General features: G+C 47.5%; 2 long non-coding RNA genes across 5 annotated transcripts in view, besides 4 other annotated features; one reads left to right on the top strand and one right to left on the bottom strand.

Annotated features, from left to right (window-relative positions):
* The window catches only part of LINC01605 (long intergenic non-protein coding RNA 1605), a 196,324-nt gene that overhangs the window by 151,345 nt on the left and 19,933 nt on the right, over positions 1–25,046 (bottom strand). The gene's annotated exons all lie outside the window — the stretch shown is intronic.
* Positions 942–1,542: an enhancer, noted in NCBI's record as "H3K4me1 hESC enhancer chr8:37413320-37413920 (GRCh37/hg19 assembly coordinates)". NCBI's record gives its function as "activates a minimal SCP1, AML or CMV promoter by ChIP-STARR-seq in naive H9 embryonic stem cells {active_cell/tissue: H9 hESC(naive)}" and the evidence as "EXISTENCE:reporter gene assay evidence [ECO:0000049][PMID:30033119]".
* LOC105379379 (uncharacterized) lies at positions 5,169–10,533 on the top strand. Of its 2 annotated transcripts, NR_188158.1 has the most exons (4): positions 5,169–5,227; positions 5,396–5,766; positions 9,821–9,912; positions 10,024–10,533. It is a non-coding gene; the product is annotated as an uncharacterized LOC105379379 (long non-coding RNA). The 2 variants fall into 2 exon arrangements; NR_188159.1 differs by lacking the exon at positions 9,821–9,912.
* Positions 5,171–5,672: an enhancer, noted in NCBI's record as "H3K27ac hESC enhancer chr8:37417549-37418050 (GRCh37/hg19 assembly coordinates)". NCBI's record gives its function as "activates a minimal SCP1, AML or CMV promoter by ChIP-STARR-seq in primed H9 embryonic stem cells {active_cell/tissue: H9 hESC(primed)}" and the evidence as "EXISTENCE:reporter gene assay evidence [ECO:0000049][PMID:30033119]".
* Positions 5,673–6,172: an enhancer, noted in NCBI's record as "H3K27ac hESC enhancer chr8:37418051-37418550 (GRCh37/hg19 assembly coordinates)". NCBI's record gives its function as "activates a minimal SCP1, AML or CMV promoter by ChIP-STARR-seq in primed H9 embryonic stem cells {active_cell/tissue: H9 hESC(primed)}" and the evidence as "EXISTENCE:reporter gene assay evidence [ECO:0000049][PMID:30033119]".
* Positions 19,866–19,915: an enhancer, noted in NCBI's record as "active region_27226". NCBI's record gives its function as "activates an Ori minimal core promoter by ATAC-STARR-seq in GM12878 lymphoblastoid cells {active_cell/tissue: GM12878}" and the evidence as "EXISTENCE:reporter gene assay evidence [ECO:0000049][PMID:35858748]".

The raw sequence follows: 25,046 nt of genomic DNA on the forward strand, positions 1-25,046 counted from the left end.
GAGTCATCCCCATGGTGCTGCTCCTTCTTGACTAGGTGACCGGGGATCAGTTACCTAACCCCTCTCAGTCTTGGGTTCCTCATCTGTAAAATGAGGAAAATAACATCTATCTCATCAGGCTGTTGTCAGGATTACATTAAATTAAATTAAATAATTCCATTGACTAATTTAATTTGATTTAAGTTAATTTAACATGACCCTTATCAGCTGTGTAACCTCCTATGGGAAATGTGGATAATAACTGACCTGTTAGCTGTATGTGGTGGGGCACAGCTGTAGTCCCAGCTACCTGGGAGGCTGAGGTGGGAGGATCCCTTGAGCCCAGGAGGTCGAGGCTGCAGTGAGCCATGACTGTACCTCTGCACTCCAGCCTGGGTGACAGAGTGAGACCTTGTCTCAAAAAATAATTATAAAATAATTGGCCTCCTTTGTAGGGATGTTCTACAGATTGTTTGTTAATACATATAAAGCTGTTATTACACTCTAGGATGTAAGTGCCCTGAGGGAAGGATTTTGGTGTGTTTTATGCACGGATACATTCCAAATAGAACAGGGCCAGGTACATAGTAAATAATACTAGTTTACTGAATGAACTGTTGAATGCCACAGGAGAACAGAGCCATTCCAAGAAGGCTTCCTGGAGGAGGCAATGCAGAAAGGTGAGCAGGAGTTATCTAAGCTGAGAAGATGGGCGGGGCTACTGCAGAGGAAATAGGCAGGAACCAGGACAGAGCACAGGGGAACAGGAAGCCTCAAGCAATCTAGTATTTGGAGAGTAAAAAGTACAAGTCAGGCAGGGGCAGGAGGTAGAGATTCTCTCCCAAATGGTCCAGTGGTTGATCTTAATGGGGCCAAACACAAACACACCCAAGATACATACCCAGGAGAAATGTGAGCATTTGGGAAAAAACAACTTCCATCGGCCCCTCCTGAGGCCTCCAAGTCACTGGGCCTGATTCAGGAGAGCAGAAATAGCATTTCCTGTGAGCCCTTCACCTCTGGGGAAGGTCCGGTCACAGGAGACCCTAACCCATCTGTCTGCGAGATTTCCAGCCCACTTGGAGAATGAGGCAACCATGCCTGTGAACTCTGACCCCATCAATCCCAGCAGGAGCTGGGGAAGAATTTACATCTTCAAAGGTCCTGCTAAATGTTAGCCAACAGCCTTCTCCCAGCCCCCAGCCCTCACCTTCTCACCCTCTGGGCCACCAGGGGTCAGGGACTAGGGTCACACCTGGCCAGGCCAGGTCAGGGCCCAGATTCCATCCAGCATCTCATCAGCAGAGCCATCCTGCTCCCTCCCTGCCACACCCCTTCCCCTCCACACCCACACTTGGACCCGGAGCTGGGAAGACAATGGCCACCGTGTAAGTGGCCTTCAGACAGACAGGGGCTCGGGCCGCCCACCCTGGAAAGAGTCCTGGGTCTTGGATCAAACCAGGGAGTGAGACAGGCCCCTGGACCAGGGTCAGCTCCAGAGACTGCCCCATCAAACAAGTTTCGGTGACCTCTCCCTGACCCCCAGTAAGCTCCAGTTGTTCCTCTGATCTCCTGGAGACGGGCAGACCTGTTAACTTTTACCAGACGCCTTTGACACGGGCACTAGGAAGAACCTGGGGGGGTGGTTTGCTCACGTGTCAGAGCTCGGGCCAGCAGTCACCCTGACCAGCTCCAGCCAGCCCTGGAGCTCAGGACACAATACCTGCCCCTTCTCATGGGCCACAGGAGTTGTGAGGACAGGGCTCTGGGCCCAGCAAGCCAAAAGGGGAGCCCAGGCCCCCAGGATCACCCCACACTGGCCACTGACTTGGGTCCCACCTCAGACTTCGATTTCCCCTGCAGATGACTCTCAGGACGTAATGGCCTCAGCTCACAGCCCTAAGCGGGGGCTGCCCTGGTGATTTTGCAGATGAGCATTTAAGAGCATCCCCCTAGAGGCAGGGGCTTGCTGTGGCAGACTGCAGCCCCGAGATCAGTGGCTCTGAGCTGCCACTGTGGACCTGGGTCCACGTGGAGACGATTTCCCAGCTGGTGCTGGTGAAGGGCCAGGGACAAAGCCATGGCACCTCCAGGCGTGCCTCACTGCCCTGCCTCTTCCATCCCACCTCCATCAAAGGTCCCCACAGCTTCTCCCTGCAGGGGAGCAAGCACTGGCAGGAATAGTAGACCTAAAGGCTCAGGAGCTCTGCCAATCATGAGCTGTGTGGCTTGGGAAAATCACTCAGCCTTTCTGTGCTTCAGTTTCCCCACTTGCAAAACAGAGTGAACAGAAGGTCTCCAAAATCCCTACGGTTCTACCTTCTCTGACCTCAAGATTCTTTCACCCCCCCCAATCCCTTTAAAACTCTTCTGTTCCTACCAAAGAACTTTATAGCCATGGGAGATTACCCAGCTTAAGCCCTTTATTTTAAAAATGAGATAGCTGGAATCATGAGCTGGGTGGCCAGGAGTGAGACGCCTCAGGGCAGAGCCAGGCCTGGAATCCAGGCCTCCTAGGACTTTGTTCTTTATGCCTGGCCTGCTCTAGGCTCACAATCCCCCCGGAAGCCACCTCCTCAGAAGGTGCACATCAAATTATTTGCCTGGCATCCAAGACTACCCACCCACTGGCCTGCCACTGGCCTGCTCTCTAACTGCCCCCGGGACCACCTCCCTCTCTAATCTGACTCACTTGCTGTCCCCAGCAAGTCCCAGGCTCAGTCTGGTCCGGGGCCTCTGCTCGGGAAGGCCCTGCACAGATCACCCCATGCCCTCCCCTTGCCTCAAAGCTTCCTCCCTAGCTGCCTCCCCGCCCTTCTCCCTGATCTCCCGCAGGCCCTGTCTCTGAGTCCTGCTTGCTCACTTCAGCTCTTCAGCCCAATCTTAAATGCACCCCACTTCCCGCCTTCTCTACACAGCCCACGGGCAGTGGGTTGCGTTGGTTAGGAGCTGCACACAGCGCCTGGCAGCCTGGGGTTGAATCCTGGCCCCACCACTCACTAGCCACACAGCCTTGGGCGAGCTACTGATTCCCTGGTGCCTCCGTTTCTTCTTATGAAAAGGGCGTAACGGGAGTTCTTAGTTCAGCCTGTCACTGTTAGGATGATCTCTGTAAATACATGCAATCACCTAAAACAGTGCCTGGCATGTAATGTGCGTGTGTGTGCGTGTGTGCATGTGTTACGTTTCATGCATATCTATTTCCCAACTGGACTATAAGTTTCTCTGAGTTCCAGTATAAAAATGTATTTCAGGCCAGGCTTAGTGGCTCACACCTGTAACCGCAGCACTTTGGGAGGTCAAGGCAGGAAGATTGCTTGAGCCCAGGAGTTCAAGACCAGACCAGCCTGAGCAACATAGTGAAACCTCATCTCACAAAAAAAAAAAAAAAAAAAAAAGATGTTTTAATTAGCCAGGCATGCTAGCATGCACCTGTAGTTCCAGCTACTTGGGAGACTAAGGTGGGAGGATCACCTGAGCTCAGGAATCTGAAGCAAAATGAGCTCTGATTGCAGCACTGCACTCCAGCCTGGGGGGACAGAACAGGCCCCTGTCTCTAAAATATATACATAGATATAAAAATAATAATGTACTTCTTGCTACCTTCTAGGACTGTGGTGATGCAAGTGAAGGAGGCATTCAAAACTGGATGGACAGTTCTATAAGAACCCTAGTGCTAGGGGTGGCTCAACACTGGGATGAACTAGCTTGGGATTGGAATGCCACCCATCAGCACAGCTGTAGGACTTCAGGACAGCACAGTCTCCCATCAGGGGATTTCCCAAGCCATGAAGATTCCCCTTAAAATTCTGAATGTCCCTTGCCATCTCCTACCCCCAAAAGAGCCCCTTACATAAATTCTGTTGCTCCACCTGCTCTGCTTGGTGCCCAGCCCCGCCCCTTTCCGCTCCCCACACCCCACAGACAAAAGGCTGTGGTTGATTGATGATGACAGTGACCCACCACTGACCCCTCCAACCCAGTCCCACTGCTGCCCATGAGGTGCTCAGTCCACAGCCTCCAGGGTTGTTTGAAATGCAGACCCCCACCCTATGGGGCTGTTGGTTTTCTTCCACGTGTGAAGTGGGATCTTTGATGTGTGCCCTACTGGGGTGTCTCCAAAGGTCTGGGTCCTGGGATCACTGCCTACAGCAGTCTACTCACCAGCCTGCCTTTATGTGGTTCAGGGCATGAGGCTAGACAGATCTGGGTTCCAATCCCGACTTTTGGGCACACTTACCAACTCTGTGCTTCTCCCATCTCTGAACCTCGGATTCCTTATTGTGAAGAAGAGACATAAGGTATAGCCCAGAGAATTACTGAAAGGTTTAAATTAGATAATACATAAAGCTTTGGCCACAAGGAGGACACATTGTAATCAATAAATGATTTTAGCCATAGTGAACAGGAGGAGGCTGAGGTGGAGGAGGAGGAGGAAGAGAAGAGGGAGGAGGAGGAAAGGGAGGAGGAAGAGGAGGAGGAGATTGAGGAAAAAGAAGAGGAGATGGAGGAGGAAGAGGAGGGGGAGAGGGAGGAAGAAGAATAAGAGATAGAGGAGGAAGAGGAGGAGGAGATGGAGGAAAGAGAAGAGGAGATGGAGGAAGAAGAAGAGGAGATGGAGGAAGAAGAAGAGGAGATGGAGGAGGAAGAGGAGGAGGAGATGGAAGAAAAAGAAGAGATGGAGGAGGAAGAGAAGGGGAAGGAGAAGGAGTAAGAGAAGGAGGAGGAGGAAAAGAAGGAGGGGGAGGGGGAAAAGAAGGAGGAGATGGAGGAGGAAGAGGAGGAGGAGGAAAAAGAGGAGAGGGAGGAGATGCAAGAGGAAAAGAAGGAGGAGGAGGAAAAGGAGGAGGGGGAGGAGATGGAGGAGAAGGAAAAGGAGGAGGGGGAGAAGATGGAGGAGGAAGCGAATGCAGAGGGATGGAGATGGAGGAGAGGAGGAGGTTGTTGTAATCATGGAAAGGCAGGGAGTTGTCTGTGAGGACTCACTTTGACTCCATTCTGTCCTTCTTCTTCTTCTTATACTAACCCCCTTGATCTTCCTTTCCCTAGAAGAGGGGCATGCCAAGCGTCTTCCTTTTGCATGCACACACACACACACACACACACACACACACACACAGAGCATGTTACCAACAGCTTTTTATTTAACTTTCTCCCTGCCCAGAGCTTCTCTTCACTGACTGTCTGGGACAAGCCAGCGCCGTGGAGCTGTCTCTTTTTCATTTCTCAGCCTCACTGGCCATTCCAGGTATCTGCTGATGGGGCTCTTGGCCCTTATAGCCAAGCTGCCCAAGACTTGACTTGCTCTTTTTACCAAAAAAAAAAAAAAAAACTATTTCCACTAAACCACTGAGCATTTCATATGTCGTAATTTTAAAGCCACTTCTTTACTCATTTCTTCCGTTTATTTGCCTAGTCCTCAAGAAATATTTGCTTGATGTGACTTCTTGGAACCAAATGTTGGTACCCAACTGAAAGGGATGGAGCCCTCCGAACTTGGAAGTTCCGCTGAGGATGAGGGCGGCCGCCATTTTGAAACGAACAGACTCCAAAAGCACGCTCCACTGGGCCTGCCCCTGCGATCTTAAAACAGATGTCCGTGAAATGTGACCCATGAATAGCAGTTATCTGGAGAGAGAGCTCTGAAGCTGATGAAACCATTAGAGCCACTGAAGGCACCTGGTAAATGCGATGCGGGGAGTACAGAAGAGAGAATCAGAAACACACCGGCACTCTCATTCCCATGAGGCCACTTACAGTGGGTAAAACGTCGCTTGAGAAGAGCGGGTAGGTGGCTGGGGCAAGCAGGAATGTAGAATCGTGTTTGCATTTGAGAGGAAAGAAGGGTTGGCCTACCGCAGAGTTCCAGCCCCATGGCCATGCATTCTCTCTCCACCACTCTCTCGCTAATCTCTCTCTCCCTCCAGATATACCTCTCTTTCTTCCTCTGTCTCCTCCCAGCCTCTTTGTCTCTTTCTACTCTCCTCTTCTCCCCGTTGACCTACCTCTGAGTTCCAGCCCAGCCCCACAAGCCCCACATTCTCTTTTTCTCTTCCCTCCTCCTCCTTCTCCTCTCTCTCTCTCTCTCTTAGGCCTCGCTCATGGGGACTTTAATGACAAGAGAAACCAGACTTTGTATACTCTTCATGGTAAGAGAATGAGGAGGGACAGATGAAAGCCGAGGATAAAAGAACGTTGCAAGGCTAGAATGAGATAACCCCATTAAAGAATGTCCATAAACATCTCTGAAAAACACCTTCCCCTGGAAAGGCAATGGTGGGGGAAGAGATTTTTTCAGGCCTCGATTCCAGGAAGCTCATAGGACAAAGAGATTTTTTTCCCTGAAAGAACTCCAGAGATGCAACTGCCTCTCTACTCTCCCGTCTCCACATCCCAGGATGTTCAGAGCAGGGACAATGGGGCCTTGATGGGGAGAGGGTCTGGGGGTGAGGAACTTAAAGAACTGAAATATAGAGACCCTAAGCAGAAGCACTCATCTACTCCCCCTGGAGCAAAATGAACCCGGGGAGGGGGAGGAGAAAGAGGGTGGGGGGAGCTTTCCAAGCCGAAGGAGTCGCTGAGTTAAATTACAGGGGCCTGGGAGGGATGATTAACAGCTCTCATGGTTTTCTGCTTCACAGCCATTACTCACGCTAAACCTGAGGCTTCTCGGTTACATAGCCCAGCGCGGGCCGACCATTTTTTCCATTGACTGAAAACACATTCCGACTGAAAACAAACTTTGGATCCCCAAGGCTTGGCAAGCCCTGGGTCCTCCTCCATATTTAATCAACGGGAAGCTAAACACTTTCAATCTGTGATGGCTCATTTGGACGGGGTCTCGGGGCTTTTGCTTGGTGCCAGATATAATAACTCTCCTTTCTCTTTTCTAAGGCCTATTTTATAATTTTGCTGTTTTTCAATGTCAAGCCCATCTTTTGAAGAATTTTTATTGGATTTCCTGCTAGACTTCAACGAGGATTTTTCTTACTTTGGCAGAAATATCAAGCAGAACAGGGGAAAAACTCAATCGTCATCTTGGAAAGTCGCGATGGCGTGTGTGTGTGGAGGGGAGAGTCCTTTGTTTGCACACAAACAGGTTTCTGGAAGGCTAGAGCCCCAGTTGCCAGCTTCGAGGGGCCCTCTAACTTCTGAGTCATGGGGTGAAAGTTGACATGGCAAGGCAGATGGATGTGGGAAGAGAGAGGAAGTTGGAACAGGATAAGGAGAGAGGCGTGAGTGTGTGAGACGGCTCAGGGCAGTTAAGATTCTACTCTCGGCCCAGGGCACAAACTCTGACACTGCCAGGCACAAAAACTGCTGGGACATTGAAGGCCAGGGAGACAGTGCCCACTCAGGGGGCAGCGGACAGACTCTTACCCAACAGCATGGCCCCCTCAGAGCTGGCAAAACCCCAAGAAGGGGCAGGAAGGCCCCGTCCCAGAGGCTGCCATTCTACTAGCATAGCCGTGGCCTGTGTGCCTGCTCAGGGCAATGCTGAGATCTTTAATTTTTCTTCACAGAGATTAATCCCCAGAGGAAGCAGCTTGCCAGTGAATGACAGCTTTTGTTTGCTCATGTTTTCCTCTCCTCCCAGAGTCAACTTTCAGAATATACCAGGATGTTCCCTCTCACTTGACTTTCTTTTCTTTTCTTTTCTTTTCTTTTTTTTTACTGGAGGAGAGGGGAGGCTCCACAGCATATTATCCAAAGGCGAGGCAGATGGTTCTTTGTCCAATAGTGAGAGAGGGGAGAGAGGGGCCATTGGTCTTCTCTTTTTGTGTTTTACGTTTTTACTTCTCATGTTGAGATGTTGTAACGGCACTTCATACCTCCTCGGCCGCTGTTGTCTTCACAATGCACAGAACATGTTCCATGTCATGTCATCTTGCTCTTCCCACACAACTCTTCTGTGGGGCAATACTGGTTTTGGAATTGCCATTTTAGAAGTGAGCAAACAAGACTCAGATCAAGTGACCCAGCTCAAGTCTCATGGGCAGGAAGTGGACAAACCAAGGTCTGAACCAAAGTGAGTGCTTTTTCTACCAGGCTACAAAATGGAATGTTGCAGGGAGCTGCCTGCCCAGTGAGTGAGTCCTCTCCTCTCCCTGTGCTGGGTAGAGTTCTCAGTGTAGATTCCCTGGGGCAGAACACACTGAGAGTTGCATGGTGATTTTTACCCCATCCACCAACTGCATATCAAAGTCTCTGCAGGCTAGATTACGAGACCAGGCGTCCAAAGCATCTAAGCCACTGCTCCCCACTCCTTCCACTTCCAGTGGCAAAAAGGACTCAAATAGACTCAATCCACAAACGTTCTGTGGAATACCCACTCAGGGCTAGAATATTGAGGGATTTGGTGCAAGGAAAAGATACCCTCCCTGCTCTTAAGGAGTTTACAGTCCAGATGAGGAGACAAAGCAGAGAACCCTATATCATTACAACTGCTAAGAACCTTGGAGATCAGCCATCTAAACCCCGTGTTTAGCAGTAAGGATATGGGACAGTTCAGGGAACCGAGGAGTGGATCAAGAGGGGCAATAGGAAACAGTGTTGCGTTTCATGCTGAAGAGTACAGTGGGGCAACTGGCGCGGTGGCTCACACCTGTAATCCCAGCACCTATGGAGGCCAAGGCAGGAGGATCACTTGAGCCCAGAAGATTGAGACCAGCCTGGGAAACATAAGGAGACTGTGTCTCTATAAAAAAATATTTTTTAAAAAATTAGCCAGGTGTGATAGCGTGTACCTGTAGTCCCAGCTACTTGGGAGGCTGAGGGTTGGAGGATGGCCTGAGCCCAGGAAGTCGAGGCTACAGTGAGCCATGATCATGCCACTGCACTCCATCGTGGGCTACAGAGGGAAACCCTGTCTCAAAAGAAAAAAAAAAGAGTGTGGTGGGGTCTGCAAGCTGGTCAGAGAATGCTAATTGGTCCAGACACACTCTAGGAGAACATAAAATTTGGTCTCCATCTTGAAGCATATATAGCACTGAATAGATGGACAGAAAGACAGGTGCCACAAAAGCAGAAGGAAGAAGGCAGACTGAAGTCTAGTGTGCCTGCGGGACAGTGAGGGGCTGGAGTCGAGAGAGAGGGAGGAGAGGAAAAAACCAAGGCTGAAAATTTGGATGAAGCCAGACCCTGGAGGATCTTCAGCAGTCAGGAGGAACATGCATGCAAAGCCAGAAAGAAGATAGTTGATGGTCAGGGTTTCAGGGCTTGCTGACCAATGAAACCCTGGTCCTGTAATTCTGTAAGCTCCAGACCATTTCCTCCACAGCCACACCTACCAACCCATCTAAATTGACAGCCCCGGAGGCTGGGGGCACACGGAGGTCCCACTGCGCACTATTCTGTGAGTCTGGATTGAGTAGCACTGCCACGGGGTTCACCTAGCCCAACACATTCAGGTCATCCGGCCGCACACCCACAGTCCACCCTTTTCTCATTCCTGCAGCCACCACCTCCATGTTTCTGTGAGCTCCCCAACCCCAGGCCCTCCTCCCTGGCTCTCCAGGACGCCCCAGGCAAGGACTGGTTTGTCCAAGCTGGAAGAGCAAAGAGTGAAAGGGCCAGGGAGGAGGAGGCTGCTTTGGGGTCAGTAGGAGCTCACATTGGCAGACTAGGACATCAGAGAGGAACCCCTTTCTGCAGGACAGCAGAGACACAGTGAATGGACATCTGGGGCCAAATTCCTCCAGCGCACGGGGACCCTGAGGGCACGAAAGCCAGAAAGAGGACCCCGCTGTGTCCCTGGCCTCCTACTGCACACTCCTGTGGCTTGAACATCTCCATCAGCTGTTGCTTTTTTTTACCTTGTACCTCACTTTACCCATTTTAGCCTAAAAACAAGAACGTCTGCCCTCTTCCTTCTTAACCAAGACTGAGATGAGGACAAGTCAGACCCTTCAGACCCATCGTTTCAGGGACCAGGTGTGGCAGCTGTTGCAGCTAAAACTCACAATGACCATAGTAATGTCATCGTTCCTCTGCTTCCAAAAACAAAGCCTGTCTGCGTTCATTAACAGCCCTTTGTTCTTCTAGCAGCTCCAGCCTGAATGAGAAGCACGTCCTCCTGGGAGTTACGTCAGCAGCCTGACCTTCCATCTTCCTCCTCTAAAGAAGCGTCCCTGCCACCCTGAGCACGAAGCCCTCGGGTTCCTAAAGGCCGAGGCGCTTCTTCTCATTTACTTCCCTTGAGGAAGAAAGACCAGCCCATCCACCCTCATTTCCCACCGAAGGGCATCGCAAATAAAGTTTGCCCACGCAACCAGGCCACCACCATTAATTTCTCTCTGCCCTGCTCTTACATTCTCCTCAAGGTTTTCAGTCCCCTAGAGAGGCTCCCTTCCCTCTTTTCTTTCCTTCCTCCAGCCCCCCTTTTCACCTCCCTCCACCATTGTTTGAGGTTAAGAAGCATGCTACGGTGTTCTATAAATCACTTGGCAAGAGTAGACGACAAAAGCAAAATATAATTCAGATTAAAGTCATCCTCCCGCTGAAATGATAGTTTCTTAAATAAATGGCGATGCTGCCTATCAATCTTGCTGGCAACTGGTCCTCTCATATTCATCTTTCTGGGGGTGATTTAGGATCCACCTGGGTCCTCCGAGAAGATTCTCCCATCATTTCCTTCCCGTCTCTCTGGATCTTGCTGCTGGGCTTGGCGCAGTTGACAAATTCTCCAAGTAATCCCTCAAAAGATTGGAGAAATGCTCCGAACGCTCCATTAAACTTATTTTCCATGCTTTAAGAGACCCAAAACTATGTCCAATAAATAAGTGTTCCCTGTGATTTACTGAAATGCTCCTCTGATTTAAAGTTATAGAGGGAAAAATATGGCGCCCCTGGGAGGGAAGGACCAGCCTCACAAGTGAGACCAGATGTGAGATTTCTGCCCGGGGAGGGGAGAAGAGGGGGAAAAAACAACCCAAGTGGTGGAGGTTTGAAAGTGACAATGTCTGAACCCAGGCTCTCGGCTTTAACATAAAAGGTCCCCAGTTGAACATTCTTTCTCACAAAATTTATTGTGGTTGTAGTTAGAGGGGGAACCATCAAAAGAGTAATTCTGGCCCTTGTTTTGCAGAGCTCTTTTGATAAATATGATACTTAGAAATATGCCTCCCACTAGACAGAAAAGCCATATAGTTAAAATGAAGTAATCTGTCAGTAAACTCGCTAGAATCAAAGCCAAAATGAAACCTGTAAAAGGAGAAGGGGGAAAAAATCTCCACTTAGAAACGTTTGAGTCAAGCAGGGGAGAAGGTAGAGATTAAGAATTGTCCTTTATTCAGATATTTTTATCTACGGAGTTAAAAGCGGAGATTTATTTTTAAAAGGGGCTATTTATGTTCCAATCTCCAACAGATGGGTCTGTGTTCCTGCCTCGCTCATGCAGCTCAGGCTCAGCAAAAAAACAGCTTCTCTTCTGAGCTGAAACTTACCCAAAAGAAGGAGGAATAAAAACTTTGGGAAACAAATGTAACCTTTGGAGCTGCTTGGTAAATATTGGAACTGTTTACTATGGAGGCCCAGATGTGTCAAAACCAAGAAACAAACAGGAACCAGCAAAAACAGATGTGAAGACTAGACATGTATACATATTAACCATGTATTACATATGCATATGTGTGCACACGTGTCACTCATGTACTGATTCCCAGAGGGCTGGATAACTTCGGCCAAGAAAATTCCCACTGGGGAAGAGACATCATCCATAGGTTATCCCAAATAGTTCTATCTTAGGAGTCCACTTCTCTGAGTCTCTCTTCACGTGATCAATCACTTGTTTAGAAAATATTTCTCATGGTCAATAACAGAAAATTTTTACATTAGCTCCACTAGTGAAATTACCCTCAAAGCATTTCTTGCACCAAAAGAAACCAGACTCCATGGCTGCATCAGCGACTGGGCTAGCCACTCTGGAAACAGGTTCCCAAGCCTTCAAGAGCTGCCAAGCCATCCCAGAATAAAGCGCCCCTCCTCACCGAGCAGCAGGCTCTGGTCTGTGCAGCTTCCACAAGGCCTGATCCCAGGAAAAGCCTTCCTGCTTCCCAGGGACTTCCCCATTCCTGTCCCCAAAACAACGCCTGAGGCTGTCAGCCTAGAGAAGGGGAAGTCCCCACCACCCCGTCCCAGGATGCGAGGCAGGAAGACATTTACCCCACCTGCGGGACAAAAAGATTAAGGCCCACGGTGTGTATACAGCCTCGGGCCAATTACAGTTTTCAAATTCTCCCACTCCCTCCACTGGCATTTGTCCTAGAGTGAAATGTGCCTAAAATGAAGAGGAGAAAGACAGAGGATAACAGAAGGGTGTCAGGGAAGGAGTCTTAAATATCAGATGACCCCAAATCTGACCCTGGTTCTGCAATAAAGTGTCTATGTGACCTGAGACCAGTGGCTTCACCAACCGGAACCCCAGTTTCTTCCATCTGTGGTGAAGCGTTGAACCAAATGACCTCCTGCTTCTCAGACTCCCAGAGATGGTCCCTTTCTCAGGCCCCAGGGCCTCCCTCCCTCCAAGGCACCCCTGCAGGTCTGGACAGAGTTGGAGGGTGTGGGGTTGGAACGGCACCTGTGTTTACAATGGTACAATCTGCAGTTTACTGTAATAAAATCATTTAATACATTCATAATTTTTTTGGCAAGGGGTTGTGTTTATGGTGAGCAAGACAGAGAGGGAATGATTGACTAGGACTGATTAAAACGATAAATCAAAAACGAAGGCGGGAGGACATGAAGAGCGCAAAGCCACAGGCAAATCCAATTTAAGTCTCAGGCTCGGTGTCTTTGTGGGAACAGCTTGGCCTGAGGATGAGCCAGCCCTGGGGGTGGGGGCCCCGGGCCAGGGTGGGAGTGATGGGGCACAGAATCTGGCAGCTCAACCCAACAGGGTTTATCTTCACCGGGCTGAGAAATAAGGAAATGGTTTTACAAGAACTCATTTCCTTGGGCCTCTGTCTTCAAAAGGATTTAGGAGGGCTGGAGAATAAAGGAGAGTGTGTGTGTGTGTCACATACGTGTGCATCCAGGTAGAATAATTTGAGCAAGACCTAGAGGGACTTTCCAGAATCAAAATTATCTTTAAAGAAAAAAACGATCCTTCAAGTAAAGTATCTGAAACTCCACTGCTAGCAAGGATTAGCAAACACTTCTGACCTTGCAAATGCTGTCCTTCAATAACTGAGTGCCTACTGCATGCCAGGCACTGTGCTGGGGCAGAAACAGATTGTTCACTTAACGAATAATGAGCAAGTCCAAGCACTGTCCTAGGCCCCAGGGATAGAAGAGTGAAAAAAGAATCCCCGACCCCATGGAACTGCTCTTGTGGGCATTTACCTCCTTGTGAATTAAGCACTATGTTTGCCCCTGGAAAAACAGGCTTCCAGTCAACAGTTGTTTATACAACAGTGTGATAAATGCTATAACTCAAAGGTGTACAAAGGGTCATTAATACTGAGGGGTTGAATTCTGATCCAGTCTTTATTATTATTATTATTCCACCCTTCTCACTCCCCGACCTCACTGTTCCATCACTCCCCACCCTGCTTCCATATGGACCCATTGTTTAACTCCCACATATAAGTGAAAACATGAGGTATTTGTCTTTCTGTGTCTGAGTTGTTTTATGTAGTGTTCTCCAATCCCACCCATTTTGCTGCAAAAGACCTGAATTCATTCTTTTTTATAGCTGAATACTATTCCATTGTGTATATATGCCACATTTCCTTTATCTAGTCATCCATCGATGGACACTCAGGTTGATTCCACAGGCTGATTTGCTATCATGATTTGCTATCATGAATATTGCTGCGATAAACATACGCATGCAGGTATCTTTTTGATATACTGATTTCTTTTCCTTTAGATAGAAACCCAGTAGTAGGATTGCTGAGTTGAACGGTGGTTCTATCTTTAGTTCTTTAAGAAATCTCCGTAATGTTTTTCATCCAGGTTGTACTAATTTACATTCCCACCAACAGTGTATAAAGTTTCCCTTTTCTCCACATCCTCTCCAACACCTGTTTAGGGTTTTTTTTATTTTGTTTTGTTTTGTTTTGTTTTTAACTTTTTAATAATCTGAGCTGGGGCTGGGCATGGTAATCCCAGTAATCCCAGCACTTTGGGAGGCCAAGGCAGGAGGATACTTTGAGGTCAGGAGTTTGAGACCAGCCTGAGCAACATAGTGAGACCCCATCTCTACAAAAACTAAAACATTAGCTGGGTGTGGTGGCATGCACCTGTGTGGTCCCAGCTACTTGGGAGGTTGAGGCGGGAAGATCGCTTGAGTCCAGGAATTTGAGGCTACAGTGAGCTATGATCACACTACTGCACCCCAGCCTGGGCAACAGAGCAAGACTCTGTCTCAAAATAATAATCGTAATAATAATAATGTGAGCTGGATCTTAAAGGGTAAGAAGAATCGCCCTTTCACAGCCAGAAAAGAACAGTGCTCCAGACAGAGGTCACTGCATTAGTGAAGGCATGGAGCTTTGGAAGGGCTTCTATTGGGAAGGGAGAGAAACCAAATGCCTAGGAAGGGCTAGGTATTACGTTGCTTGTCTGGTTACCAGCTAATTCCTTGGTTAGTTATTTAACAGCTCTCTGAGAGCACGTCTTCAAAAAAAAAAAGAGGTCAGGAGCCTGGGAATTGGAAGGCTGCGGGGAGATGGGTTGGATAGAGAAGTCAAGACAAACTTCAGTTACTTCACAGCTTTGCATAGGATGGTGTGGTAGAAAAAACTACTGACCACCAAAGATTCATGCTCCCCCAACACCATGTTGAGTTGCTTCTGGGGAGCAGATGCCCAGTCTACAATTTTCACCACCCACACCCACAACCCAGCCCATGCAGCTAGTGCGATCCACACGACTGGGTCTCACCAATGGAACATGGGCGTAAGGGTCATGCATCATGTCCAGGCCAACATGGTGTTAGTCTCCAGTGTGCTGTCTCCCCGTCCACAGAGACCGCGAAAGTATCCAATGTACTCCCTGGATAGAGACCTCTCCATGAGACTTCAGAAGCCAGGTGTTAAAGATGGTGTCATCACAAAATGGCAGCAAGGAGCTGTTCAGGGAGCCACCTTGTGATCCCTGAGGTAGGAGTATAACCTCATGGTGAGGCAGCACCTTCAGCAGAGGGCAAGTTCTGGAAAAGGAAACACAGCTATGAATCATCTACAGAGAATAAACCTGCAGCTGCAGGCAAAGGAGTTTATGGAAGGAGCTGAAGGGAGCTGCATGGAAGATAGACCACAGCAGCCACCGCAGTCCACAGTCCACAGTCCACAGTGCTGCTGGGATTCATTCACTTAGTCTAAGTCACGCCACCTGGGAACAGTTCCTGCAGGATTTCATTGGATCTCCTTTCCTAGAGAAATCAAACTCCAGTCCCAACTGTTACAACCAATACTCACCATCCCCCTCCTCTACTACCTATTCTAAATGCCCCTCAGCCCCCGCTACTGATCTAGTGGCTTACTTGGTGGGGTGACCCAAACCCACATCTTTGAGGGGACTGAGCCCAGGGTCACCGCGCCCTTCTCAGGATATGGCTGCTGTACTTGTCCATTTCCTATCAAAATTGGACGGGGGAATGCCATGAGACATCCCGGGGACAATCATATTCTTCCCTGGCCCCTGTCATGTGTCAGCAGCCCTAGTCGCCTGATCATTGGGGCCAATTGCACCTGACAGATTGGTGACATCTGTCCCAGCTTTCTCATCTCTTGGCATAAGGAGCCTGAAGTGGCCAGGCATTGGTCATAGCTAGAGCTGACTGGGATTCTTGAGTTACTCCCCATCTAGGAAGCAATACCTTTAGCCCCACATGACATTGAGAAGAAGAAATTCCTCACATGTGTCCAAGGGGATGGTGGTAAGCAGGGTCACTTTTACTTTCAGCTTTTAGCTTTTGGTCCAATATATCCTACCTGTTAGAGACACTGCAGAGCAGTCATTAACATAGGGTGCATAATGCATCCAGGAGAAAATAGTTTATCTTCACAGGGCAGTATTTCCACTAGCTCCTCAGCTACGCCTTCAAAAAGGGTGATTCCGGCCAGGTGACTCATGCCTGTAATCCCAGCACTTTGGGAGGCCAAGGTGGAAGGATCACCTGAGGTTAGGAGTTCGAGACCAGCCTGGGCAACATAGTGAAACCCCATCTCTACTAAAAATACAAAAAATTAGCCGGATGTAGTGGCAGGTGCCTGTAATCCCAGCTACTTGGGAGGCTGAGACAGGAGAATCGCTTGAACCCAGAAGTCATAGGTTGCAGTGAGCTGAGATTGCACCACTGCACTCCAGACTGGCGACAGAGCGAGACTCTGTCTCTAAAAACTAATAATTTAAAAAAAAAAAGAAAGAAAGAAACAGCTTTTTCTTCAAGTTTCCTACAACTTCCACACATACTTCTCTACATTTTTAAATAGAGGTGAAAAATTATGGAGCATTAATTAATGTTTGCTTTACAATCATGACTCCCAAGATTACTGAGCTAAATGTTTCCAGAGTTCCTGTGTCAGCTTTTTATAGTTTCTCTGTCTCCATGCTTAAGGTTGGTCACCTCTGATTGTGTCAGTGTGATCTGCTTAGATCAGCCTTTAATTTGTTGTTTCTAAATGCAGTGGGCTTGGAAACTAAATAGCCAACCATGCTGGGATTGTGTGTTAAATAATCTTAACTAGATTCAAGCAAGGGTCCCCACCTTGAGAGATCTATGAACCTTTAGTGCATGTATTCATTCCACAGTAATTTATCAAGTATGCAGTATGTGCTACTAGGTGCTGGGGATATAGCAGGAAACAAAATAAACATAAAATCCCTTCCTTCATTGGGTTTACATTCTGCTGGGACCAAGGAAAATCGGAGGCATTTATTTTACATACGCAAATGCTGATTTTGGTCACTTACTTGTTCCCTACTGTGTTCCACAGGGGTGGGATTGGTAGATAGTTGAGTGCCCCACGGGTGATATGTTACTGCTCTACTGGCAGTAAATACATGGTTTCTGCAGTACTATTAATAACACAAAGCTCACTGGACGCGCTGGCTCACACCTGTAATCCCAGCACTTTGGGAGGCCAAGGCAGGTGGACCACCTGAGGTCAGGAGTTCGAGACCAACCTGACCAACATGGTGGAACCCCGTCTCTACTAAAAATATGAAAATTAGCTGGGCGTGGTGGCGCATGCCAGTAGTCCCAGCTACTAGGGAGGCTGAGGCAGGAGAATCGCTTGAACCCAGGAGGCAAAGGTTGCAGTGAGCTGAGACTGCACCACTGCACTCCAGCCTGGGCAACAAAAGCAAAACTCCATCTCAAAAAAAAAAAGAAAAAAGAATAACACAAAGCTGATAGAGAGTTATTAGTTCTATAATTCCGACATATTGTGAATCAAATAGGCATTACTGGGCTGGGCTGGGAACTTCACTACCATCTATACCCCGATTTCCACAGGCAAATGTATTCCAAGTTCCAGGCAACTGACTTTCAAATGAACTTTTGGAACAGAACTCATTTGTAAGTTCCAGACTGCCTGTACTTCGCTATAAATGCACCGAACAGCCGGAGCATATTCGACCTAAGGGTTAGAAATGCGAATGTTGGGATAGGAGTTATTTCCCCATTCACTAACGTGGATGCCTCAGGTGACCCACCGACTCCCTCTGAATTTCAGTTCAGACCCTCATCTACTGGGTTTCACTAAGATTTTATTAAATAGACAGGAGTTCTGGTATTTTAAAAGTTCGAAGAACATTATTTAAAAGAATCACTAAGTATTTCTCAAAGCCATGAATAAATAAGGGAATGAAATGAATGAATGGGGAAACTTTCCTGACATTCCCAACACACCTCAAGTGATGTCCCGAAATGAAGAACATTTCCTGGAGGATTGCTTTCTCTTTTTCACTGTGGCTTCTGATCCAAACATTTGTGACAGAAATAGAATGAGTGCCATCACTTCTGGCGATCCCAATGGAGAATCTGGGCTTTGGCAAGACCCAAAAGAAAGAGGCATTTTAGGGGCCGGGCTCGGTGGCTCATGCCTGAATCCCAGCACTTTGGGAGGCTGAAGCGGGCGAATCACCTGGGGTCAGGAGTTCGAGACCAGCCTGGCCAACATGGTGAAACCCCATCTCTACTAAAAATACAAAAATTAGTTGGACGTGGTGGTGGGCGCCTGTAATCCCAGCTACTTGGTAGGCCAAAGAGCGAGAATCGCTTGAATCCAGGAGGCGGAGGTTGCATTGAGCCAAGATAGCGCCACTGCACGCCAGCCTGGCGACAGAGATCCTGTCTCAAAAAAAAGAGGAAAGAAGTGTTTTACAGGAGCCAGTCTGACAGATTATCAAGGCTGGGAATGGACGGAAATGGCTGAGCAGCATGCACTTGTTTGGTTTTTTAAAAAGGAAGCAAACGTGATGCTCAAGAAGAAAATCAAACCAAGAAACAAGCTTCACAAATAATCACTCACCTCCTCCCCAGGGCCAGAACAAGTTTCACTCATAGCTGTAGAAAAGACTCCCTTCTCCTGACTTCCAGGGGGTGGTGCAGGTGTGCAGCCAGCCCTGCTGGGAAGCAGTGCTAGTGCCTCCCAGCTTCTATGACAGGCAGCTGCCAAAGACCCCAGCCCCGAATCTCAAAGTCACATTGTGCTAGGGATGGCCTTTCTCCCACTGCCCTCTCTTCTTCAGCCCCACCCCTGTCCCTCACCCCTGCCTGCCTTTCTGGGAAGGAGGATGGTTTCAGGGAAATGCAGGCACCCCAAGGCCTTTCTTTGTGTAGGCTACATTAATGAGAAACTCAGAGAAGAAACTCTAGGAGACCTACGGAGCTGTCACCAAGTGCATGGGGAGGGAAGATTTATGTTGAGGACCAGGATGTGAACATACCCATGAATTATCCTTCGTGCCAAGGTAAATTGGATGGAGAAAAATATGTGTCAAGGAGGCAGAGACTGGGCTTGCCCGCAATCCTCATAGCACCTGGAGAAAGAGGGTCTCACTTAAATTCACGTAACTACAAAACTATCTGAAGCCAATGACTCTTCCAGGCTTTCTTGAATAAGAATAACTAGCATGGGTTGAGTACTTCTTGTGCTAAGTATCTTACTTGCATTAACCTTCCAAAACTCTATAAAGGTCAGTATTATAACTCTCCCCAAGTCAGAGATGAGTAAACTGAGGCACAAAGAGGTTAAGTAACTTGTCCAAGGTCACACAGCCAGGAGTGTGTGACCTGGCTCTGGTCTAAAGTGAGTATTTAACATAGAGGCACTCATTTCATCTCAATTACAACACAATAAATCATCTACCATTATTACATTTTACAGATGTTAATAGCTAACACTTTTGCACTAACTATGAGCCAGGTATTGTTCTAAGGACTAAGCAAAAATGTGCACACACTCTTTCCCACCATACTACATCATATTGTACCCATGGGAAGTACATAGAAAACTTTGAAGTAAGGAGGAGGGGGCCGATGCGTCCCCTCTCCCCTTAGAGAAGGACACATCCCTTCTCCCCCAGTGGCAGTTACCAGCATTCAAGAGCAAGACTACGGCGACCTTTAGAAACAAGAAACTTGCTCTTCATGATCATGCAAAAAAGACTCAATACTTTCTGTGGAGTCTCAGCAGCCTCTAAGAGGAACAGAAACCGGTGAACGCAAGTGCTGTGGCTACTTTTTGTTTTTAAACTTTTCAGGGGTAACCACTGTGAAACTTGGAGTGTATTTCCTTCCGTCTTTTTCTATGCATCTATAAATAGACCATAGATTTGTAGAGATACATTTTTATATTCTATCTTATTCACTTAGCATTATCTCACAACCATTTTCCTCTTTCTGGGAGGGAATGGGATGTAGTGGTTAAGACCACAGGCTAAACCATCAGAAAGCTTAGGTTCAAATCTTGGCTCTGACACTCTGTGACCTATCAATTCACTGGGACTTAGCGATTTTTTTTTCTACTTTTTTCAGTCTTATTAAGGTATGATTGACAAATTTGATTGGCATAACAGCATAAAATTGTTGAAAAATGATAAATAAAAAGAACCAAACATACTGCCTTTCCTACATGAGCTATATATCAAGCTAACCAAAGAGTTGGTGAGGAAAGCACTTCTTTTTTTTTGTAAACTTTTAAGTCCAGAGATACATGCACAGGTTTGTTATATAGGTAAACTGAACGTCACGAGGGTTTCATGTAAGATTATTTTGTCCCACTGGTAATAAGCATAGCATACGATAGGTAGTTTTTTCTGACCCTCTTGTCAGAGGCTTCTGAACCAGAGCACCTCCATCTTGAATAGATGCTGGGTAAAATGAGGCTGAGACCTACTGGGCTGCATTCCCAGGAGGCTAAGGCATTCCAAGTCACAGAATTAGATAGGCGGTCAGCACAAGATACAGGTCATAAAGACCCTGCTGATAAAAACAGGTTGCAGTAAAGAAGCCGGGCAAAACCCACCAAAAGCAAGATGGCGACAAGAGTGTGGTCAGCCTCACTGCTCATTATGTGTTAATCATAATGCATTTGCATGCTAAGAGACACTCCCACCAGGGTCATAGCAATGTACAGATGCCATGGCAACATCAGAGAGTTACCCTATGTGGTCTAAAAAGGGAAGGAACCCTCAGTTCTGGGAATTGCCCACCCCTTTCCCAGAAAACTCATGAATAATCCACCCCTCGTTTAGCATATAATCAAGAAACAACTATAAAACTGGGCAACCAGCAGCCCTCGGGGCTGCTCTGCCTACAGAGTAGCCATTCTTTTCCTTTCTTTTCTTCCTTAATAAACTTGCTTTCACTTTATGGATTCACCTCAAATTCTTTCTTGTGCGAGATCCAAGAACCCTCTTGGGGTCTGGATTGAAACCTCTTTCCAGTAACATCTTTCGCCCTCCTCTCACCCCACTTCTTTTTTTATTTATTTTTAAAGATTTAGGGGTACAAGTGCAGATTTCTTACATGCATATATTGCATAGTGATGGTGCCTGGGCTTGCAGTGTACTCATCACCCAAACAGGGAACATCATACCCAATAGGTAATTTTCAACCCTCACCCACCTCTCACCTTTTGGAGTTTCCAGTTTCTATTATTATTCTCTATATGTTCATGTATACACATTGTTCAGCTCCCACTTATAAGTGAGAATAGGTAGTATTTGACTTTCTGTTTCTGAGTTATTTCACTGAGGATAATGGCCTCCACTTCTGTCCATGTTGCTGCAAAAGACATGATTTCATGCTTTTTCATGGCTGAGTAGTATTCCATTTTATATATACCACATTATGTGATCCAATCATCCACTGATGGACATATAAGTGGATTCCATGACTTTGCTATTGTGAATAGTGCTGCAACAGACATACAAGTGCAGGTATCTTTATGATATAATAATTGCTTTCCCTTTGGGTAGATACCCAGTAGTGGGATTACTGGATCAAATGGTAGTTCTATTTTTAGTTTGGAAAGCACTTCTGTATAGAATTCCAACTCTAAGTGCAGAAGAAATGATAAAATTAGAAAATCACCATTTGGCAACCTCTGTTCCAATACTTTTAATAACATCTTCCTCGTCACCAGATTTTGGCTAACAGTCTGTTCCCAGTGATTTAGGCTTTTTCCAAGGTGACTTAGGATTTCTCTCAAATGCTCCTCACTTCCTTCTGAGCCAATGAACGTCATGTTTCTAACAGCCTAGCCAAAGTAATGTATGCTTTTTCTATCATCTTCTCAAAATTCTTTCACTGCCCAATTCCAAAGCTGCACCCACATTTTGGGGTTTGTTGTAGCAGCACCCCCCACTTCCAGGTAACAAAATCTGCATTGGTTTTCTATGCAGAGCAAATCACTATGCACTTAGCAACTTAAAACAGTACCCATTTATTATCTCAAAGTTCTGTAGGTCAGAAGTCTAGAATGGTGTAGCTGGGTTCCCTGCTCTGGGCTTTCCAAGCCTGAAACCAAGGTATCAACTGGCTGCATTCTCACTGGAGCTTGAGATCCTCTTCCAAGCTCAGTCCCATTATTGGCAGAATTTTGTTCCTTGTAGGACTGAAGTCCCTGTTTCCTTCCTGGCTGTTGGGCAGGGACTGCTCTCCGCTCTTAAAAGCCTTGAGCTTTCAGGTCCTGGCCCCATGGCTCCCTCCACCTCAGCAACAGAGAACCCCACCTCACACGAAACCCTTCTCGAACTTCAGACATCTCTGATGTCCTTTTTTGGCACCATCTGGAGAAAGCATTCTGCTTTGCAGGGGCTGACAAGTTTCGGTGGGGCCCACCAAGATAATCTCCCAGTTTTAAGGTAATCTTAAGGGTAACCCTAATTACTTCTGCAAACTCTCTTGCCGTGCACCAAAGCATGATCACAAGAGTAATGCCAGGAGATGAATGTCACTGGGGCTGCTTAAGACCTCTGCCAACCATGCTTTCCCACCAGAAGTGCAACCTGCTTTTCATAGCCCACCTGCCACCCATGCCCCGACTCCCATCCTGGGACTGCATGTTGTTCTAGCTTCTTGCCCATTGCCTTTTACCCTCTATTCTGGACAAGGAGGTTACAACCTTGGGTTTGGGAGGGCTGTTTGCTTCTTTGTTTTGAAGAAAGAAAGAAACTTAACAGTAAGGGAGAATTATTTCATTTTCCTCTAAATTTTGCATTTTTCTTTTGGCTCCCTTCTTTAATGGGGCTGAGAGAGATGGAAGCAGGTGGCCCCTGTGACAGGCAGCATTGTAGCCCCAGCCATTGGTGCAGGGGTTTGGAGTGGCTCTGGAGTCAAATCTGCTGGGTGTGAATCCCAGCTCTGCGAATGGCCAGTGTGACTTTGGGTGAGCTTTTTATCTTCCTTGTGCCTCAGTCTCCTAGTTTATAACAGGAAGATAATAATAGTGCCTGCTCTACAGGGTTTTTATGAGGCATAAGTTAGTTGATATCCGTAAAGTCCTTAACACAATACCTGGCACATAGTTAGTGAAAAACTGTTAGCTATTAACATCTGTAAAATGTGAGTAATAATGGTAGATGCTTTATAGGGTTGTAATGGAGATTAAATGAGCTCCTCTATGTTAAATACTCACTTTAGACCAGAGCCAGACACTCAGTAAATGCTCAATAAAAACAGCTGTTACAAAGCTGACCCAAGGGCTTCCTGGCCAGTGGACCAGAGGAGAGTTCCCTTAGCATCTAGATGTTAGAAAAACATGCAGAAAACCCATCAAAGTCTCTCCATTAAGTTCAAGATCAAGTCCAAACACCTTACAGAGGTGTAGAAGGTCATGCAGTATCTAAAACAGACCTCTTCCCTTTCAGTGCTCCACATTTTCTGCTCATTCCCCAAATGGAGTCTTCCTCAGCCAAGCAAAACATCTTCTGAGTGCTGCGAATCTCCCAACTTACCCCTCCCCTGGACCCTCTGCCAAGGAGGGGCACTCTCTCCCTGCCACCCCTGGCCTCAAGCTTTTTACCTGATTTGGTAGTCCACAGTCAGATCACAGATGAAAAGTCCTTTCCTCTGGGGAGCCTTCCTTGCCCCCCCACCCCCAAAAACCACACACACACAACCAACCTCCCTGGCATGCTGTGCACCCCCACCCCAACCCCAAGGTCTGCCCAAGGTCTGTCTACCCCCTCTCCACTCTCCCTTTCAAAACTCCTCAAACTGTGATGTGATGACCAGCCACCCCTCATTGGCCCCCACCATGTTGCACACTCCATAAGGACTGGCTATTAACTTATAAGTCCCCAGCACGTATCTTAGTCCTCCTTGTAGAAGGAAAGGAAGGACATGAGCATCAGAAGATGGGTTTCTGGACCCAGATGTGACTCCAACTAGCTGTGACTGTGGACCAGTCATTCCCCTTTCTGGGCCTCAGTTTGCATCTGAGAAATGAGGGTTTGGACCTTGCAATTGCTAATATACCTCTCAGCAGCAACGTCCCACAGACATCTCAGCACAGAGCCAACTTAACTTTAGGCCCCTCCACTTGTTAGGTGCTGGGTTTGGTTCAGAGATGGAGATCCTTTACAAGCCTCTTTGGTGCCTTCTAGATTCTGTAGGCGACCCCATTCCAGGGACGGAGGCTGGTGGAGATTGAGCACTCACACCCTTCCAAGTTCAAGTCCAAGGCCAGGCCCTGGTGCAGATGTATCCTTTTTTCTTTGCCAGCTTTATTGAGATATAAGTCATATACCACACCAATTCACCCATTTAAAGTATATATTTACAGATATGTGCGACCATTAGAACAGGCAATTTTAGGCCGGGCATGGTGGCTCATGCCTCTAATCCCAGCACTTTGGGAGGCTGAGGCAGGCAGATCACCTGAGGTCAGGAGTTCAAGACCAGTCTGGCCAACATGGCTGAAACCCCCGTCTCTACTAAAAATACAAAAATTAGCCAGATGTGGTGGCATGCGCCTGTAATCCCAGCTACTCGGGAGGTTGAGGCAGAAGAGTCACTTGAACCTGGGAGGTAGAAGTTGCAGTCAGCCAAGATCATGCCATTGCACTCCAGCCTGGGCAACAAGAGCAAAACTCCATCTCAAAAAAAAAAAAACAAACAAACACACAGGCGATTTCAGAAAATTTTCATCACCAAGAAGAAAACTCTTAGCCAGGTGCAGTGGCTCACACCTGTAATCCCAACACTTTGGGAGGCTGAGGTGGGAGGATCCCTTGGGACCAAGAATTTGAGACCAGCCTGGGGAACATAGCAAGACACTGTTTCTACAAAAAATAAAGTAGATAGCTGGGCATCGTAGCTCACACCTGTAGTCCCAGCTAGTTGGGAGGCTGAGATGGGAGAATTGCTTGGGCCCAGGAGTTTGAGACTGCAGTGAGCTATGATCATACCACTGCACTCCAACCTGAGTGACAGAGTAGTAAGACCCTGTCTCTCTCTCTCTCTTAAAAAAAAAGGAAGAATAAGAAGAAGTCGAAGTCTCTCATGCTTTAGCTATTACCCCAATGAGTATTCCTGCAAATCTCTCTCTCTCACCCCTTTCTCCCTTCCTACCCTTTTCTCTCTCTCTCCATCCATCCCTCTCTCC

Source organism: Homo sapiens, chromosome 8 (genome assembly GCF_000001405.40).
Source record: "Homo sapiens chromosome 8, GRCh38.p14 Primary Assembly".
Lineage (NCBI taxonomy): Eukaryota > Metazoa > Chordata > Mammalia > Primates > Hominidae > Homo > Homo sapiens.